The 20112-nt window shown below is 44.2% G+C and overlaps 1 protein-coding gene and 1 long non-coding RNA gene across 7 annotated transcripts in view, besides 2 other annotated features; one reads left to right on the forward strand and one right to left on the reverse strand.

Annotated features, from left to right (window-relative positions):
* Positions 4257-4756: an enhancer, noted in NCBI's record as "H3K4me1 hESC enhancer chr10:81665-82164 (GRCh37/hg19 assembly coordinates)". NCBI's record gives its function as "activates a minimal SCP1, AML or CMV promoter by ChIP-STARR-seq in primed H9 embryonic stem cells {active_cell/tissue: H9 hESC(primed)}" and the evidence as "EXISTENCE:reporter gene assay evidence [ECO:0000049][PMID:30033119]".
* Positions 11058-13377, forward strand: LOC124902360 (uncharacterized). Of its 2 annotated transcripts, none has more exons than XR_007062023.1 (3): positions 11058-11378; positions 11743-11927; positions 12949-13377. It is a non-coding gene; the product is annotated as an uncharacterized LOC124902360 (long non-coding RNA). The 2 variants fall into 2 exon arrangements; XR_007062024.1 differs by lacking the exon at positions 12949-13377 and adding an exon at positions 12160-12237.
* Positions 14987-20112, reverse strand: part of TUBB8 (tubulin beta 8 class VIII) — a 30167-nt gene continuing 25041 nt past the window's right edge. The window contains exons 1-4 of one of the 5 annotated variants that reach the window (XM_047425177.1): positions 17336-17444; positions 17147-17257; positions 16647-16814; positions 14987-16401 (exon numbers count right to left, since the gene is read on the reverse strand). In XM_047425177.1, coding sequence (XP_047281133.1) covers positions 15589-16401; positions 16647-16814; positions 17147-17257; positions 17336-17425 — 1182 coding nt within the window. In that variant the 5' untranslated portion in view covers positions 17426-17444 and the 3' untranslated portion in view covers positions 14987-15588. Of the gene's footprint in view, positions 16815-16956; positions 16991-17146; positions 17258-17335; positions 17445-17713; positions 17829-17939; positions 18766-20112 lie in introns of those variants that run through there. The other 4 variants (NM_177987.3, NM_001389618.1, NM_001389619.1 and 1 more) reach the window with 4 other exon arrangements.
* Positions 15752-15899: a silencer, noted in NCBI's record as "fragment chr10:93160-93307 (GRCh37/hg19 assembly coordinates)". NCBI's record gives its function as "represses an EF-1alpha promoter that drives an FKBP-Casp9 reporter gene in an ReSE screen in phorbol 12-myristate 13-acetate-treated (for megakaryocytic differentiation) K562 erythroleukemia cells {active_cell/tissue: K562(+PMA)}" and the evidence as "EXISTENCE:reporter gene assay evidence [ECO:0000049][PMID:32094911]".

Here is a 20112-nt window from a genome sequence, read left to right on the forward strand (position 1 = left end):
GACCAACATGGAGAAACCCCATCTCTACTAAAAATACACACAATTAGCCAGGCATTTTGGCACATGCCTGTAATCCTAGCTACTTGGGAGGCTGAGGCAGGAGAGTCACTTGAACCCGGGAGGCAGAGGTTGCGGTAACCCAAGATCATGCCATTGCACTCCAACCTGGTCAACAAGAGTGAAATTTTGTCTCAAAAAAAAAAAGAAAGAAAAAGAAAAAGAAGAAAAGAAAACCAAACACTGCATGTTCTCACTCATAAGTGGGAGTTGAACAATGAGAACACATGGACACAGGGAGGGGAACATCACACACTGGGGCCTGTCAAAGGGTGGGAGGCTGGGGGAGGAACAGCATTAGGAGAAATACCTAATGTAGATGACAGGTTGATGGGTGCTGCAAACCACCATGGCACGTGTATACCTATGGAACAAACCTGCATGCTCTGCCCATGTATCCCAGAACTTAAAGTACAACAAAGAAAACTTTACATAAATGCATAAAGTCTAGAACAGCTAATATATTATAATGAAATATCAACTATAATCCCAGCTCAAACAGAACACCATGAAATTATGAAGGGCTTTCCACAAATCTCTAAATTTATGTCTTCATAAGATTACATTTCTATTTCTTCTTGAATAATTTCCTTATTTGAGCTATGATTTAGTGATAGTAAGACGGTAATTATAAGGAGAAACTTCTCCCAACACTCCATTGAGAAAATTCTGCCTCATTTCACCACACACCAGAGTCTTAAGCAGTCACTTCTAATGTAGCTGAACAATAGATCCTCACCCACCTGAGTCTATGAATTGAATCAACATATGTGAGATAAGGCCCCCAAGGAGTGGTAGTAAGCTGGGAATGCCATCAGCTCATCTTCCTTCAGGCCTATATTTGTCATTGTCACTTGTAGAAGCAGGACAGCCCTGGCGTTGGGGTTGTTAGAAACAGAGAGTATCAAAGGGAAAACTGAAGTTCCCTAATTTTTGGAAAACAGCAGATTGGAGACAGATGGGCTCCAGCGTTTTCCATGTGTGAGGTCATTATCCCAGGTAGCCTTGCTCAGGACCTCAGGACCACATTTCTTGTCAGCAAAACAGAAGTCAAATGATATTTCTACCTTCCAAGAGAATAGAACATAATGTCAGATTTTCTCATGGATTCCCACAAGTTCAAGAAACTTTCATGGCCTTATTTAACTGCTTAAGCATTTCAACTAAAAAATTGTCTTTCAAATACACAGGAATCTATTTGGAATAATTTTAACCAGAAAAAGTTGGAATTCTAAAGTAAAAAATGCATAAGGCAATCAAAATTTTTTACAGCTTTTAATTTAGATGTCAATGGGGAAAAAAACATTCTCTGAAATTTGCTTTTATACCATTAAAGACTTATTTTTTACTACCAGCAATACAGGGCAACTCATTCAGGTTGAATCTTGAAGGTAAACTTTAACTTAATTTTAAGTTTTGGCTAATTTTTAAGCATTTATCAATCACCTACCATGATTTCATCTCAGAAACCAAAATCTCAATTTCATTTAGGCCTTTGAAATATTAAAACAGAAGGTTAAATGCTTCAAAAAAATATTCATGTAGAGGCTTATATATGTGGACCAGGAATCTCCCTGTATTACAAAGCTTATGAGAACATAACAAATGTTGATACACACATTTAATTCTAAAATAAAAACTTACAACAAATAAAACTGTAACAAATCAAGAAAATTTTGTAGGTTTCACATTTTATGTCTGAAAATATAGGTATAAACACTCAAGGAAGGATAAAAGAAATCACAAGAGAAAATAGAAAATATCTAGAGACAAATTAAAAATATGAAATACTGAAAGAGATACATCAAAAACAATACCATAAGGGAAAAATTTATAGCTATAAATGATAAAAAATAAGATACCGAATAAACAACTTTACTCCTAAGGAACTAGAAACAGAGGGAAAAAGAGGGACTACTAAAAGAGGGACAACTAAAAGCTAGCAAAATTTTAAAAATGATAAAGACAGCAGTGGAAATAAGTGAAATAGAGAAGAGAAAAACAATATGAAAAATCAACAAAACCAAGTTTGTTCTCTGAAAAAGATCAAAACTGACAAAATTTTATCTAGATTGACTAAGGAAAAAAAGGGAATACTCAAATTACTAAACTCAAAAATAAAATGGGTACATTACTAACAAATTTTTGGAGTAAAAAAAGGATGTATGAGAGTACCATAAGGAACTATACACTAAAAAATTGAATAACCTAAATAAAATGAACAAATTCCTAGAAACAAAAAACCTACTAAGACTGAATCAGAAAAGTTGAATAAACCTATTCAGCAAGGAGATTCACCAAGAAGATGACATCAGTAATCAAAAACCCAGCAACAAAGAAAAGCCTGGACAAGATGGCTTCACTGTTGAAATCTACCCAACGTTTAAAGCAGAATTAACACCAGTTTTTCTCAAACTTTTTCAAAACGTTGAAGAGGAGGTAACATTTTCTAACATATTCTATGCGGACAGTATTACCCCGACACCAAGTCAGACAAAGGCACCATAAGAAAACTACAAACAAACATCCCTTACAAATGCTGATGCAAAAATCCTCAACAAAATACCAGCAATTCAAATTTAGCAGTACATTAAAAGGATTATACACTATGAATGAGTATAATTGACTCCTGAAATAAAAGTATGTTCCAACACATGAAAATCAGCATATCACATTAACATAAAGAAGGAAAAAACCCTCATGTGATCATCTTAATCAAAGAAGAAAAAGAATTTGTCAAAATTTAACCCACATTCATGATAAAATATACTTAATAAGCTATAAAAAGGAATAAAACACCTTAACATAAGGTTATATTAAAAAAATACACAGCTAACATTATAATGAAAGACTGAAAGCTTTTACCCTAAGAGCAAAATCAAGGATGCCTGCTTTTACTACTTCTATTTAATATAGTACTGAAGGTTCTAGTTAGTTAAAACAATAAGGCAAGTAAAACAATAAAACATATTCCAATTTTTAAAAAAGTAAAATTTTCTGTTCGCAGATGACATAACCTTGTATATTAAAAATCTTTTAGTTTCTGTGAGATAAACTATCAGATGCAATAAATAACATTCAGCAAAACTGCAGGATACAAAATCAACACACAAAAATCGGTCGTATTTCTACAATAACAAACCATCTGAAGAAGAAATCAAGACAACAGTATCATTTATGATAGCATCAAAAGAATAAAATACTTAGAAACCAATTTAACCAAGGAAATGAGAAACCTGTACAGCAAAAGTATAAACATTGCAGGAAAGTATTAAAGATAACACAAATAAATGAAAAGACATCATGTGTTTATGGACTGGAAGACAAAACCTCATCAAGATTCCATTGTTATCAATAGTCATCTACAGATTCAATAAAATCACTATAAAGATTCCAATATTTGCAAAAATACAAAAACCTATTCTAAAATTCAGATGAAATCTCAAAAAACCCCAAGTAGCCAAATCAATCTTAAAAACTAACAAAATTAGAGGACTAACACCTCCTGGTTTCAAACTTACTGCAATGCTTCAGTACCCAAAACAATGCTGTACCACCATAGAGACAGACATAAAGACCAATGCAATAGAAATAAAGAACCAAAAAACACAGTCATGATTTTTAACAAGGGAGTCAAAACTATGGGGAAAGGACAGTATATTTTTAAACGGTGTTAAGAATGAATATTTACATGGAAAACAATACAGTTGGAGCCTTATTTTACACCATATAAAAAACTTAATTTAAAATGGACTAAACATCTAATTGTAAGAGCTAAAACTATAAAACCCTTAGAAGAAACATAGGAAAAATGTTTCATAACATAGAATCTGGCAATAATTTCTTGGATATGACAGTGAAAGCACAGACAACAACAACACCAAAAATACATAAAAAGAACTTCATCAAAGTGACAAGCTGTTATGTATCTGAAGACACAATCAATAGATTGAAAATGGAATAGGAACAGCTCTGGTCTACAGCTCCCAGCGTGAGCGATGCAGAAGACGGGTGATTTCTGCTTTTCCATCTGAGGTACTGGGTTCATCTCACTAGGGAGTGCCAGACAGTGGGCGCAGGTCAGTGGGTGCACGAACCGTGCACAAGCCGAAGCAGGGTGAGGCATTGCCTCACTCGGGAAGCGCAAGGGGTCAGGGAGTTCCCTTTCCTAGTCAAAGAAAGGGGTGACAGACAGCACCTAGAAAATCGGGTCACTCCCACCCGAATACTGTGCTTTTCTGACGGGCTTAAAAAAACGGCGCACCATGAGATTATATCCCACACCTGGCTGGGAGGGTCGTACGCCCATGGAGTCTCGCTGATCGCTAGCACAACCGTCTGAGATCAAACTGCAAGGTGGCAGCGAGGCTGGGGGAGGGGTGCCCGCCATTGCCCAGGCTTGCTTAGGTAAACAAAGCAGCCAGGAAGCTCGAACTGGGTGGAGCCCACCACAGCTCAAGGAGGCCTGCCTGCCTCTGTAGGCTCCACCTCTGGGGGCAGAGCACAGACAAACAAAAAGCAGTAACCTCTGCAGACTTAAATGTCCCTCTCTGACAGCTTTGAAGAGAGCCGTGGTTCTCCCAGTACACAGCTGGAGATCTGAGAATGGGCAGACTGCCTCCTCAAGTGGGTCCCTGACTCCTGACCCCTGAGCAGCCTAACTGGGAGGCACCCCCCAGCAGGGCACACTGACACCTCACATGGCAGGGTACTCCAACAGACCTGCAGCTGAGGGTCCTGTCTGTTAGAAGGAAAACTAACAAACAGAAAGGACATCCACACCAAAAACCCATCTGTACATCACCGTCATCAAAGACCAAAAGTAGATAAAACCACAAAGACGGGGAAAAAACAGAACAGAAAAACTGGAAACTCTAAAAAGCAGAGCGCCTCTCCTCCTCCAAAGGAATGCAGTTCCTCACCAGCAATGGAACAAAGCTGGATGGAGAATGACTTTGATGAACTGAGAGAAGAAGGCTTCAGACGATCAAATTACTCTGAGCTACGGGAGGACATTCAAACCAAAGGCAAAGAAGTTGAAAACTTTGAAAAAAATTTAGAAGAATGTATAACTAGAATAACCAATACAGAGAAGTGCTTAAAGGAGCTGATGGAGCTGAAAACCAAGGCTCGAGAACTACGTGAAGAATGCAGAAGGCTCAGGAGCCGATGCGATCAACTGGAAGAAAGGGTATCAGCGATGCAAGATGAAATGAATGAAATGAAGCGAGAAGGGAAGTTTAGAGAAAAAAGAATAAAAAGAAATGAGCAAAGCCTCCAAGAAATATGGGACTATGTGAAAAGAACAAATCTACGTCTGATTGGTGTACCTGAAAGTGACAGGGAGAATGGAACCAAGTTGGAAAACACTCTGCAGGATATTATCCAGGAGAACTTCCCCAATCTAGCAAGGCAGGCCAACATTCAGATTCAGGAAATACAGAGAACACCACAAAGATACTCCTCGAGAAGAGCAACTCCAAGACACATAATTGTCAGATTCACCAAAGTTGAAATGAAGGAAAAAATGTTAAAGGCAGCCAGAGAGAAAGGTCGGGTTACCCTCAAAGGGGAGCCCATCAGACTAACAGCTGATCTCTCAACAGAAACCCTACAAGCCAGAAGAGAGTGGGGGCCAATATTCAACATTCTTAAAGAAAAGAATTTTCAACCCAGAATTTCATATCCAGCCAAACTAAGCTTCATCAGTGAGGGAGAAATAAAATATTTTACAGACAAGCAAATGCTGAGAGATTTTGTCACCACCAGGCCTGCCCTAAAACAGCTCCTGAAGGAAGCACTAAACATGGAAAGGAACAACCGGTACCAGCCACTGCAAAATCATGCCAAAATGTAAAGACCATCGAGACTAGGAAGAAACTGCATCAACTAACGAGCAAAATAACCAGCTAACATCATCATGACAGGATCAAATTCACACATAACAATATTAACTTTAAATGTAAATGGACTAAATGCTCCAATTAAAAGACACAGACTGGCAAATTGGATAAAGAGTCAAGACCCATCAGTGTGCTGTATTCAGGAAACCCATCTCACGTGCAGAGACACACATAGACTCAAAATAAAAGGATGGAGGAAGATCTATCAAGCAAATGGAAAACAAAAAAAGTAGGGGTTGCAATCCTAGTCTCTGATAAAACAGACTTTAAACCAATAAAGATCAAAAGAGACAAAGAAGGCCATTACATAATGGTAAAGGGATCAATTCAACAAGAAGAGCTAACTATCCTAAATATATATGCACCCAATACAGGAGCACCCAGATTCATAAAGCAACTCCTGAGTGACCTACAAAGAGACTTAGACTCCCACACATTAATAATGGGAGACTTTAACACCCCACTGTCAACATTAGACAGCTCAACAAGACAGAAAGTCAACAAGGATACCCAGGAATTGAACTCAGCTCTGCACCAAGCAGACCTAATAGACATCTACAGAACTCTCCACCCCAAATCAACAGAATATACATTTTTTTTCAGCACCACACCACACCTATTCCAAAATTGACCACATACTTGGAAGTAAAGCTCTCCTCAGCAAATGTAAAAGAACAGAAATTATAACAAACTATCTCTCAGACCACAGTGCAATCAAACTAGAACTCAGGATTAACAATCTCACTCAAAACCACTCAACTACATGGAAACTGAACAACCTGCTCCTGAATGACTACTGGGTACATAACAAAATGAAGCCAGAAATAAAGATGTTCTTTGAAACCAAGGAGAACAAAGACACAACATACCAGAATCTCTGGGACGCATTCAAAGCAGTGTGTAGAGGGAAATTTACAGCACTAAATGCCCACAAGAGAAAGCAGGAAAGATCCAAAATTGACACCCTAACATCACAATTAAAAGAACTAGAAAAGCAAGAGCAAACACATTCAAAAGCTAGCAGAAGGCAAGAAATAACTAAAATCAGAGCAGAACTGAAGGAAAGAGAGACACAAAAAACCCTTCAAAAAATTAATGAATCCAGGAGCTGGTTTTTTGAAAGGATCAACAAAATAGATAGACCACTAGCAAGAATAATAAAGAAAAAAAGAGAGAAGAATCAAATAGATGCAATAAAAAAATAATAAAGGGGATATCACCACCGATCCCACAGAAATACAAACTACCATCAGAGAATAATACAAACACCTCTACGCAAATAAACTAGAAAATCTAGAAGAAATGGATAAATTCCTCAACACATACACTCTCCCAAGACTAAACCAGGAAGAAGTTGAATCTCTGAATAGACCAATAACAGGATCTGAAATTGTGGCAATAATCAATAGCTTACCAACCAAAAAGAGTCCAGGACCAGATGGATTCACAGCCGAATTCTACCAGAGGTGCAAGGAGGAACTGGTACCATTCCTTCTGAAACTATTCCAATCAATAGAAAAAGAGGGAATCCTCCCTAACTCATTTTATGAGGCCAGCATGATTCTGATACCAAAGCCTGGCAGAGACACAACCAAAAAAGAGAATTTTAGACCAATATCCTTGATGAACATTGGTGCAAAAATCCTCAATAAAATACTTGCAAAAAAAATCCAGCAGCACATCAAAAAGCTTATCCACCATGATCAAGTGGGCTTCATTCCTGGGATGCAAGGCTGGTTCAATATATACAAATCAATAAATGCGATCCAGCATATAAACAGAGCCAAAGACAAAAACCACATGATTATCTCAATAGATGCAGAAAAGGCCTTTGACAAAATTCAACAACCCTTCATGCTAAAAACTCTCAATAAATTAGGTATTGATGGGATGTATCTCAAAATAATAAGAGCTATTTATGACAAACCCACAGCCAATATCATACTGAATGGGCAAAAACTGGAAGCATTCCCTTTGAAGACTGGCACAAGACAGGGATGCCCTCTCTCACCACTCCTATTCAACATAGTGTTGGAAGTTCTCGCCAGGGCAATTAGGCAGAAGAAGGAAATAAAGGGTATTCAATTAGGAAAAGAGGAAGTCAAATTGTCCCTGTTTGCAGATGACACGATTGTATATCTAGCAAACCCCATTGTCTCAGCCCAAAATCTCCTTAAGCTGATAAGCAACTTCAGCAAAGTCTCAGGATACAAAATCAATGTACAAAAATCACAAGCATTCCTATACACCAACAACAGACAAACAGAGAGCCAAATCATGAGTGAACTCCCATTCACAATTGCTTCAAAGAGAATAAAATACCTAGGAATCCAACTTACAAGGGATGTGAAGGACCTCTTCAAGGAGAACTACAAACCACTGCTCAATGAAATAAAAGAGGATACAAACAAATGGAAGAACATTCCATGCTCTTGGGTAGGAAGAATCAATATCGTGAAAATGGCCATACTGCCCAAGGTAATTTACAGATTCAATGCCATCCCCATCAAGCTACCAATGACTTTCTTCACAGAATTGGAAAAAACTACTTTAAAGTTCATATGGAACCAAAAAAGAGCCCGCATTGCCAAGGCAATCATAAGCCAAAAGAACAAAGCTGGAGGCATCACACTACCTGACTTCAAACTATACTACAAGGCTACAGTAACCAAAACAGCATGGTACTGGTACCAAAACAGAGATATAGATCAATGGAACATAACAGAGCCCTCAGAAATAATGCCGCATATCTACAACTATCTGATCTTTGACAAACCTGAGAAAAACAAGCAATGGGGAAAGGATTCCCTATTTAATAAATGATGCTGGCAAAACTGGCTAGCCATATGTAGAAAGCTGAAACTGGATTCCTTCCTTACACCTTATACAAAAATCAATTCAAGATGGATTAAAGACTTAAACGTTAGACCTAAAACCATAAAAACCCTAGAAGAAAACCTAGGCAATACCATTCAGGACATAGGCATGGGCAAGGACTTCATGTCTAAAACACCAAAAGCAATGGCAACAAAAGCCAAAATTGACAAATGGGATCTAATTAAACTAAACAGCTTCTGTACAGCAAAAGAAACTACCATCAGAGTGAACAGGCAACCTACAAAATGGGAGAAAATTTTTGCAACCTACTCATCTGACAAAGGGCTAATATCCAGAATCTACAATGAACTCAAACCAATTTACAAGAAAAAAACAAACAACCCCATCAAAAAGTGGGCAAAGGACACAAACAGACACTTCTCAAAAGAAGACATTTATGCAGCCAAAAAACACATGAAAAAATGCTCATCATCACTGGCCATCAGAGAAATGCAAATCAAAACCACAATGAGATACCATCTCACACCAGTTAGAATGGCAATCATTAAAAAGTCAGGAAACAACAGGTGCTGGAGAGGATGTGGAGAAATAGGAACACTTTTACACTGTTGGTGGGACTGTCAACTAGTTCAACCATTGTGGAAGTCAGTGTGGCGATTCCTCAGGGATCTAGAACTAGAAATACCATTTGACCCAGCCATCCCATTACTGGGTATATACCCAAAGGACTGTAAATCATGCTGCTATAAAGACACATGCACACGTATGTTTATTGCGGCACTATTCACAATAGCAAAGACTTGGAACCAACGCAAATGTCCAACAATGATAAACTGGATTAAGAAAATGTGGCACATATACACCATGGAATACTATGCAGCCATAAAAAATGATGAGTTCATGTCCTTTGTAGGGACATGGATGAAACTGGAAATCATCATTCTCAGTAAACTATCGCAAGAACAAAAAACCAAACACCGCATATTCTCACTCATAGGTGGGAATTGAACAATGAGATCACATGGACACAGGAAGGGGAACATCACACTCTGGGGACTGTTGTGGGGTGGGGGGAGGGGGGAGGGATAGCATTGGGAGATATACCTAATGCTAGATGACCAGTTAGTGGGTGCAGTGCACCAGCGTGGCACATGTATACATATGTAAATAACCTGCACAATGTGCACATGTACCCTAAAACTTAAAGTATAATAATAAAAGAAAAAATATATATATAACATAAAAAATAATAAATAAATAAATAAATTTTTAAAAATTAAAAAAATAGATTAAAAATAAATTCATGAAGGGAAAGAAAATATTCACACATTATGTATTTGGTAAGTAATTAATATCCGGGCTATATAAAGACCTCAGCAACAACAACAAAACAATCAAATTTAAACATGAGCAAAGGTTTTAAAATACACATTTCTCTAAAGAAGATATGCAAATGACCAGTAAGCACAGGATAAGGTGCTCAGCATCACTAATCATGAGAAAAAAGTAAATCCAAACCACAATGCAATACCAACTGACACATGTAAGCATAGCTGCCATCAAAAAAACCCCACCAGCAAAGCAAAACAACAAAGCCCCAGAGAACAGCAAATGCTGGATGTGGAGAAGTCAGGACTCCTGCACACTGCTGGTGGGAAAGTAAGATGGCACAGCCACTGTGGAAAACAGTAATCACCATATGATCCAGTAATCCCACATCTGGGTATATACCCCAAAAAACTGAAAGTGGGAATTTGTACACCCATGTTTATAGCAGCATTCACAAGAGCCAAAGGGTAGAAAAAGCCCAAATCTCCATCTACAGATGAATGGATAAGCAAATATGATTGATACACACAATATTATTCAGCCTTAAAAAGAAAAGAAATTCTAATACATGCTACAACATAAACCTTGAAAACATTAAAACAAAAAAATGCAAATACTCCATGCTTTCCACTTTTATAGTGTACCTAGAGCAGTTAAATTCATAGACACAGAAAGTAGGATGTGGTTTCCAGGGGATGGGGGGAAGGGAAAGGGGAGCTATTGTTCCGTGGATACAGAGTTTCACTTTGGGATGATAACACAGGTTTGGAATGGATACTGGTGATAGTTGCACAACAATGTATTTCTACTTAATGTACTTAAATTTTCTCTTATACATATTTCACCACAGAAAAAAAATTAGCAAATATTTAAAAATCTACATGTTTCTTTGAACTGTTTCTTTACGTCCCTTGTCCATTTTTCAATTTGGCTGTTGGTCTTTTAATAATTTAGGATAGCTATATAGCTATATATATACATATATATTACACAAATTAGCTTTTTGTCTGTCATGTATGTTGCAGATCTGTTTCCCCAGTCTGTTGACTTTTGACTTTGATGCATTTTTCTTGCCTATAAAGTTTTAATTTTTATGGAGTCAAATGCATCAGTCTTCTATTCAAAGACTTATTTATGGGTTTGGTGTTTCAGTTTAGGATGAAAAAGAAGTTGTAGATATGGATAAAGGAGATGGTTGTACAACACATTATATTGGACCACTCAACTGTACGTTTAAACATGGTTAAAATGGTAAGTTTTATGTTGTATATATTTTACCACCAAAAAAGGGCCAGGCTTAGATATTTATATGTTAGGGGTTTGGAGTACCTCTAACATTTATTCCCCTACAGGGCTCTAATTTATAAAACTCCCACACAAGAAAAGTAGATACTGACTTCACAAATCTCCTTACAAGTCCCACAGCAAGGGCTGTCTGGGAAAGCAGAGGTGGAAAAAGTCACATAAACTTGAGATCAGTGTGAGACCTCCCATCCCCCACTCTGGAATCAGATGGAGGAAGGCAGGCATGCAGGCTGAGCTGGAGAGATGAGCTGGGGTGGGCAGAACTGTCTTCCCATGAGCCTAGACCTTAAGTGCTCCCACATGATCTCAGGCATGTATCAAACCAAGAAAGCGGCTAGGAGGGCAACACATCTACCTGTATACAGGGAGCTATGAAATACGTGAGCTGCGCAAGTGATGCACAAGGAAACGGAAGCAGTATGACCTTTACACAGTGACCTGGCTCAAATAATTTCAGGCTGTCATTAACCAGGCGAGCTCCACTTTCTCTCTGAGGTAGGTAAAATTGAGGGGGTAAAGTGGGAGTTGGGGAAAATGGAAAAGAAAGCCTGGTAGTATTTCTTCTAACTCTGTCATAAATAAAAAGTAAAACATAGATGCCATTTCTCAGGGCCCAAATGTTAGGTGAAAAAATGTTTGTCATCTCAGTCATGTGATGTGGACTTCAGCAGAGCAGTACACACATGGTCATTTATCCTTTCCCTCTGCATGTTGTGTGCTTTTTCAGTTTATAATGTACCTGATCCACTTGTCTCATCACACTAGCTGCAAACAAGGCCACTGAATGTCACAGCAGGTGGCCGGCATGTCTGTGAAGGGCAGAAACTGGGGCAGCCAAACAGCTGGCAGAGGCCAGCTAGGAAGTACCTGATGCCCACTCCATAGAGGACTCCACACTTAAAAGACAAGATCAGCAAGTGTCAGGCTGCCTCACTAGTTATCCCCCCAAATAAAAAAATAAAAGTAACCCCTCCAGGGAACGTGTATGTGTACACACAAAAGTACATGCACACAGCTATATGCAAATGGGAAAGGCTTGGAAGGAACCAAATCCACCTCTGAACACTAGTTACTTGTGGGGAAGGGGCAGGTGAAGCCAACTGTCAGCATTACTCACCTTTTCAACTGATGAGCTTACATCAATTTTGGCAATTTCTCATAAAAAGGCAATTTTCACTCCTTGGGTGATCACCCAGGTCCTGCAGAACTGAGCCACCAACAACCACCTGCACCACTTCCCATGAGGCCAAATAATGGCTTCCCTCAAAGCTCAGCCCTCCCACCCACCTCCCAGTCCTCTCCCATGCAGGGGGCTGCCGGCCTCCTGGGGTACAGGGGTCCAGGCCAAACCCAATCCACGCATGGTTGGTGAAACCAGCACGTATCCAAGGGCCTTTCCCCCACCTGGGCCATGTGCCCACTGCATAGATAGGCCTGTGCTTGCTCCCCTAGGACAGAGACTCCCTTTTCTTCCATTGGAATGAGGAGTGGGGAGATTTGATGGTGTCCTGTACAGGTTGGGTGTTAATCTGATGTGGTGCTCTTGGAGAAGCTTGCTTGAGTTCGGCGCTTTCTCAGCACGTGGTGTGTGCTGCCCCTTCAAGCTGCAGGAGTCCCAGAAGGTAAGTGCTGCTGCAACCCCCATTTACTGGTGAACAGAGGTCAGGTGATCTGCAGCCAACCAAGCAGCTGCTAAGTGGCCAACAGGCTGGATCTGCATCTAACTTGCAGAGGCCCTGCCTGGATGCTGGGGCTGTCCTGAGACTCCCTCCTCCTCCTCCTCTTCCCTCCACAGCTCTCCTGGCTTCTATCCAAAGCTGTGTTCCAGGTGGGGAACACCTATGGATGCACCAGGGTGCAACTACTCAGAGTCCAGTGTGCAGAAGGGCCCCTGCTCTATGCTGTTTCCGTATCCAAGCCCAAGCTCTTCTAGAGCTTCAGCAAATCCAAGCCTCCCTGAATTCCCTGCAAGACCAAACTGAGCCCTACAACCCCCACCACTCTGGTTAGCTGCCAGTCCCAGCCCCTGTTCCCTCCTGGGCCCCTGTCTGTACAGTTCTGAAGTCCTACAAGAATGTTGAGATCCTAAGCCGACTCTCACCCAAAGAGGTAAACAACCAGGGGCCTCCAGGTTGAGAGAATATACCCAGACAGGTTCTGCTGCCTGTAGGCTTGATGTCTTTCCCCTACAACACGCCTTGCTTGCCAGGCTGGAAGAGGGGCTCCAGAAACTTGGGAAACCTGGGCCTGTAGCTGGCATGTGGAAAAGAGGCCTGGAAAAGCACCATTCCTGTCCATGAAGCCCCCAGATGGAACCAGGTAATTGGGAAATACATGGGCACCAAGCCTGAACCCCCCTCAGACCCAGGTGGGAACTGCAGTGGTGACTTGCCCCCTCTGCCAGTCTGGCTGTACCACTACAGGAGGGAGGAACATCTAGCCCCACACGTGAGTGGAGACACCAGGTGTGGGCAGGTTCCAGTGGTTGCTGCAGCTGAACCTTCCTAACCAGGTCCATGCGAGACCATCTCAGATGGGTGTGCACCTGGGTTGGGCAAGGACACCCCTCAGACAGTGAGAGCCACTGAGGAGGGCTGTCACAGAGGCCCCTTTTCCTGCTCTTAGAACAGGTTGGGCGAGTATGGGGGAGTGTGGGGGAGTATGGGGGAGTATGGGGGACCTCTCCCACCTCCCAGCTGCTTCCAGGAGCCACTTCTTTCGAGATGAGACTCTCCTGCCTGCCTGTTCCCATTTGGCTGCAATAGACCATTGACAACATTCAGAGAACAAGAAGGGGCCTCACCTGTTTTCCCTGACACGTAGGAGGCAGATGGGCATTCCCAGGGGACCTGGGGTAGAGCCTGTTCATCTGCCCACCCCCAAGGCTATGCTGGCTTCATCTTATCTGTGCGATAGGGCTGGGGGTGGGGGTGGGAATTACCAGGAGACCATCACACAGGCCGTGGACAAGTTCTACAAGAGCCAGGGAGAACACTGTCCGTGCATGCGTCCCAGCACCCAGCTCACACATCTCTCATTTGACAGCTTCCCCAAAGCAGGCTTTGCAGTCCAGGCTCCCCAAGAAGCCAGGGGAGGAGACTCTGCCAGGCTGAAGGGTCTGTCCCCAAAGGTGCCACCCTCACCAGGCTCATCCTGACAATCTTGGATTATTTTTGCCCTGAAGTTTTGGAGTGGGGGACAGGGAGAGAGCAGACAGTACACATTAGCCACCTTTCCAGAGAGCATCAGCCCTCCAGACTGGGGCAGGTCAGACCTCCACTCAGGCATTTTTCTCACTGGTTGCCAGTTGGGGGAAGCAGTATTTGTGAGCACCTGCCTGTCTCCCCAGCTCCTGTTCAGAAACCCCATCTGTGCCTTTGGAGGGACTGCCCTGCGCACACAGGCCCAGCAACCACCATCTACGGCCCCCAGGACCTAATCCCCTTCTACTTGGGATTCAGTGCATGTTAGCAGACACTGGGCTTGATTCCTGCCTAGTCCCTGCCAGACATCCCATGCCCACCTCATTAAGAGAATGAGGCCACACAAACACACCCAGGCCATCGTGATGATGGAGTGCCTGGGGTCCCACTTGCCCACCCTTCATTGCTGGTTCAGAGCCAGCTCTGACCACATTCCTACCCTGAGATGGGACTCTGGGGACATTGTCCACCAGGGTCACTGACCCCTTTTAACGTTCCAGAAACATGGCCAGCTGGTCCCCTAGAAGTTTGGTATATGGGATAAGCCAAGGCTTGCCTTCAGCAACAGGTTTTCCACCACGTCACTGCCCAAGGCCCAGGGCATCCCCAAGTTCATGTGAAGCCTGCCTGCCATGTCCACAGCCCATACCGACCCCTCCTGGAGCCACTGGAATGCTTGTTCCTGGGCATGTGATGAACCCAGACAGCTTCCGCCTTGCAGGACAACTATGCGCATCTGGCAGCAGTAGCCAGAGGGCCCATAGAAAGAAGATGGAGGCAAAACCAGATGCTGTGAGAATACTTTATTAGTCAAAACCGCATACTATAAAAATGCTTTAAAACGCAGCAGGAGATGTGAAGACACAAATTAACAAGCGTATAGTGACACATGGCTGTCAGAACACAGTAAAGAATCCACACTGCTTCCCCCCTTTACCTAGAAAAGGAGAGTTCTAGGCCACCTCCTCCTCGGCATACTCCTCATCCTCCTCCTCCTCGGCCGTGGCATCCTGATATTGCTGATATTCAGACACCAGGTCGTTCATGTTGCTCTCGGCCTCGGTGAATTCCATCTCATCCATGCCCTCGCCCGTGTACCAGTGGAGGAAGGCCTTGCGCCTGAACATTGCTGTAAACTGCTCTGAGACACGCTTGAAGAGTTCCTGGATGGCCGTATTATTCCCAATGAAGGTGGCTGACATTTTTAGCCCCCGGGGTGGGATGTCACAGACGGCTGTTTTTACGTTGTTGGGGAGCCAGTCAGCAAAGTAACTGCTGTTCTTATCTTGAATGTTGAACATTTGTTCATCCACCTCCCTCATGGGCATGCGACCCCTGAAAATGGCAGCCGCCGTTAGGTAGCGGCCGTGACGGGGGTCACAGGCAGCCATCATGTTCTTAGCATCAAACATCTGCTGGGTAAGCTCAGCCACAGTCAAGGCCCGGTACTGCTGGCTGCCCCGGCTGGTCAGTGGGGCAAAGCCGGGCATGAAGAAATGCAGCCGGGGAAACGGGACCATGTTCACGGCCAGCTTCCGCAGGTCAGCATTCAGCTGGCCCGGGAAGCGCAGGCACGTGGTGACCCCACTCATGGTAGCAGACACCAGGTGGTTCAGGTCACCATAGGTGGGTGTGGGCAGTTTTAGGGTCTTGGAACATATGTCATACAGAGCTTCGTTATCTATGCAAAAGGTCTCATCTGCGTTTTCTATGAGCTGGTGGACTGAGAGGGTGGCGTTGTAGGGCTCCACCACGGTGTCCGACACCTTGGGCGAGGGCAGGATGCTGAATGTGTTTATGATCCTGTCTGGGTACTCCTCCCGGATCTTACTGAGCAGAAGGGTACCCATCCCAGACCCAGTCCCCCCACCCAGGGAGTGGGTCAGCTGGAAACCCTGCAGGCAGTCACAGCTCTCAGCCTCCTTTCTGACAACGTCCATCACTGACTCCATCAGCTCCGCGCCTTCGGTGTAGTGTCCCTTGGCCCAGTTGTTTCCGGCCCCACACTGACCTGTAAGACAGCACAGCCGGTCACTCGACGGCCAGGTATACGGTCATCAGTGGTCACCACCATAATGCAGAAAGAGCCAAGCGTCACACGTGAGGTGAGAGCACCGTTCGCCCTGCAGGTGGAGCAGATGAAACCCCCTCCCCCAGAGTTACAGGACAGCAGCTTCCCCTGTTAGGAATTAAGACAGGAGTCAAACCTGAGACGGGTTCACAGACCTCGCTGCAGGTGGCTCCTGCCCATTCTCAGGAAAGGCAGTAGCCACGGCCCCAGCTCAGGTTCTTGCAGGGAGTTTACATCAGTAACTCCTCACCTTGAGGAGACACCAGGGCCTTCCTCCCGAAGCCCATTTAGGAGAGGCAGATTGAGCGACTCGACTCGGAGGATAGGAGGGTGTTCAGGGGCCCTAGCTCCACAGTTCCCAGAGGATGACCTTAGCACACTCCTGGATTTTGAGCTGCCCTGGCTAAGGAGCCGCACCCCAGTCCTCGCCCGCAGCTCACCGAAGATGAAGTTGTCTGGCCTGAAGACCTGCCCGAAGGGCCCCGAGCGCACAGAGTCCATGGTGCCCGGCTCCAGATCCACGAGCACAGCGCGGGGCACGTACCTGCCACCTGCGTGGGGCGGGAGGGCATGAGCGAGGGGAGGGCCGCGTTCCCAGGAGGGCGGTGGGGGAAGGACGGGGGTCTCACCGCTGGCCTCGTTGTAGTACACGTTGATGCGCTCCAGCTGCAGGTGGCTGTCCCCGTGGTAGGTGCCAGCGGAGTCGATGGCATGTTCATCAGAGATCACCTCCCAGAACTGCAAGAGACGGGAGGAGACAGACAGGCCGGGGCTGAGTCAGGGAGGCGCCCCAGCCGCTCTCCCACCCCCACCCTCATCCGCACCCCCATCCCTAGGCCGCCCTGTCCCTGGGGTCCACCCCGGCCGCCTCGCCAGCCACCCGGTTCCACCGTCCCCGGCAGGGAGCCCAGGGGCCGCAATGCATGGGCACCGCCCCCGCCACTGCCAACACCTTCCCCGGCCACCCGGCAGGCCCGGGCTAGGCCCTCAGAGCCCCGGCTGCCAACCTTGGCGCCGATCTGATTCCCGCACTGCCCGATCTGCGTGAGCACGATCTCCCTCATGGCCAAGGCGGGATTAGGACGGCAGGAGAAACGTGAGAAGGAGGAGCAGACGCGCAGCGACCCAGCCCGCCCTCCGCCAACGTTTAAATAGCCCCGCGCCCACCTCCCTCCGCCTCGGATTCGGCTCCCAGAATAAGCAACAGCTTTACTTCCACACAGGTGCACCCACCTGTGGATCCCCTGGCGCTGAACATCTGTTGGAAAGCTCAGGTGTCCTTGCGTGGTCCTTTCCACGTTGGGGAAAGCTGCTCGCTGGAGAACTTCCTCCCGCGTCTTTAGTAAGACTAAATCCCTAGCTGAGCTGAAACTGAATTTTCCTCCCATGTGGGAGGGGAAGACTCTTGTTTCCATATGCACGGAGTGCCTTTGCACCTGTCCTAGATTGATGACATATTTTTGTAATTGATGAGTCTTTTCATCTATTAGGAGATCTGTGGTTAGGAAAGGCCTTCCACATGTGAACTCAACAGGACTCAATTATACGTTTTACTTTGGAGCAGTTCTAACCCACAATAAGCTATGGGTGTTAGAGACAGTCAGGCCTCTGATTTAGCTGGAGTCTTCTTTAGAGTAGGGTTAGCCCTTTCACCTTTCCAGAGGACTGTGGTCTCCAGCAGAGTGAAGGTCATATTGGATTCTTAAAGCTGAGGACAGGTTTTGGGATACGCCTGCTGTGAAAGATGGGCCATTGTCACTTTGCAGGCTTTTGGATTACCCAAACTGAGGAGTTATTTCTTCTGGTAAACATTTTTCAGATGGGGTGGGGAATGCCTCGATCTAACCAGTGAAGGTGTCAGTAAGCATTAGCAAATATTTGAATCTCCTGCAGAAAGGCTTCCGGGTAAATTAGAGTGGCCAGTTCTCACCTGGATAGGTTCCTCAATTTTGGACAGGTTTAACTGGAGAAGGAGAAAATTGCTGGCCATTTGAGTCATGTCAGGCACAAAGCTCACAGGGCTGAGTCACCTGTTTTAGTGTCTTGAAAAGATTTACCCCTATAAACAAATGAGACATTAACAGAAACAAAGAATCCCTTCTAGGGTGAAAAGAATCATGAAAGTGCTGAGTTATACTCCTGTGATTGGTACTTGGCATTAGTAATTTATTACCATCATTCAGCCCGAGGGGCCCTGGACTGAAATGCAATCCCTGGCCCATTTTCGTTCTTCTTCAGGGTATTCTGGCCCAGTTCTATGTATGCTGACCAGCACGCCCACAAGCTTCATTGGCCCTTTCAGTGCAGGGGCCTTGGCTGTGGCATCTACAAGGGCATTTCCTTTTACATGGTCAGTCTCTCTTTTGATGTCCTCTGCAATTAATTATACTCACTTTTTGGCAGCAAAGCAGCACTCTAACAAGCTCAAAATCTGAACGATGTTGTATGGAAAAGCCCTTGGGGGTCAGGAGTCCCCACCCATTCCAAATTGCAGCATAAGCATGAAGCACTAAAAAATCATACTTGGAATCAGTGTAAATGTTAACTTTTAAATTCTTTCCCAACTGCAGGGGCCTAGTTAGTTCAATTAACTCAGCTTTTTGAGCTGCTGAGGTCGAAGCCAGCAAGGCTTGTGCCTTGATTGATTCTCTTGTGCTAATAATAGCATATTTAGCCCTCCTGTTTTCCTGATGCATAAAACAACTTGCATCTGTTAACCACTCTTCCTTGGGATGGTCCAGGGAATCATCTCTCTTATGTCTGGCCTGCTAGAATCAATTTGTTTCATAACCTGTGACATGCTTTGGCTGTGTCCCCAGTCAAATCTTATCTTGAATTGTAGCTCCCCTAATTCCCATATATTGTGGGAGGGACCCAGTGGGAGGTAATTGAATCAGGGGATGGGTCTTTCCCATGCTGTTCTCATGACAGTGAATAAGCCTCATGAGATCTGATGGTTTATTTATTTATTTATTTTTGAGACAGAGTCTTGCTCTGTTGCTCAGGCTGGAGTGCAACCTCTGACTGCTGGGTTCAAGCGATTCCTGTCTCAGCCTCCCGAGTGGCTGGGATTACAGGCGCCCACCACCATGCCTGTCTAATTTTTCTACTTTTAGTATAGACGAGGTTTCACCATGTCGGCCAGGCTGGCCTCAATCTCCTCACCTCAGGTCATCCACTGCCTTGGACTCCCAAAGTGCTGGGATTACAGCTGATGATTTTACAAAGGGGAGTTTCCCTACACAAGCTCTTTTGCCTGCTGCCATGTAGAAGATGTAACTTTGTTCCTCACCTGCCTTCTGCCATGAGTGTGAGGCCTCTCCGACCATGTGCAACTGTGAGTCAATTAAACCTCTTTTCTTTATAAATTACCCAGCCTCAGATATGTCTTTATTAGCAGCATAAG

This window comes from Homo sapiens, chromosome 10 (genome assembly GCF_000001405.40).
Source record: "Homo sapiens chromosome 10, GRCh38.p14 Primary Assembly".
Taxonomy (NCBI): Eukaryota; Metazoa; Chordata; class Mammalia; order Primates; family Hominidae; genus Homo; species Homo sapiens.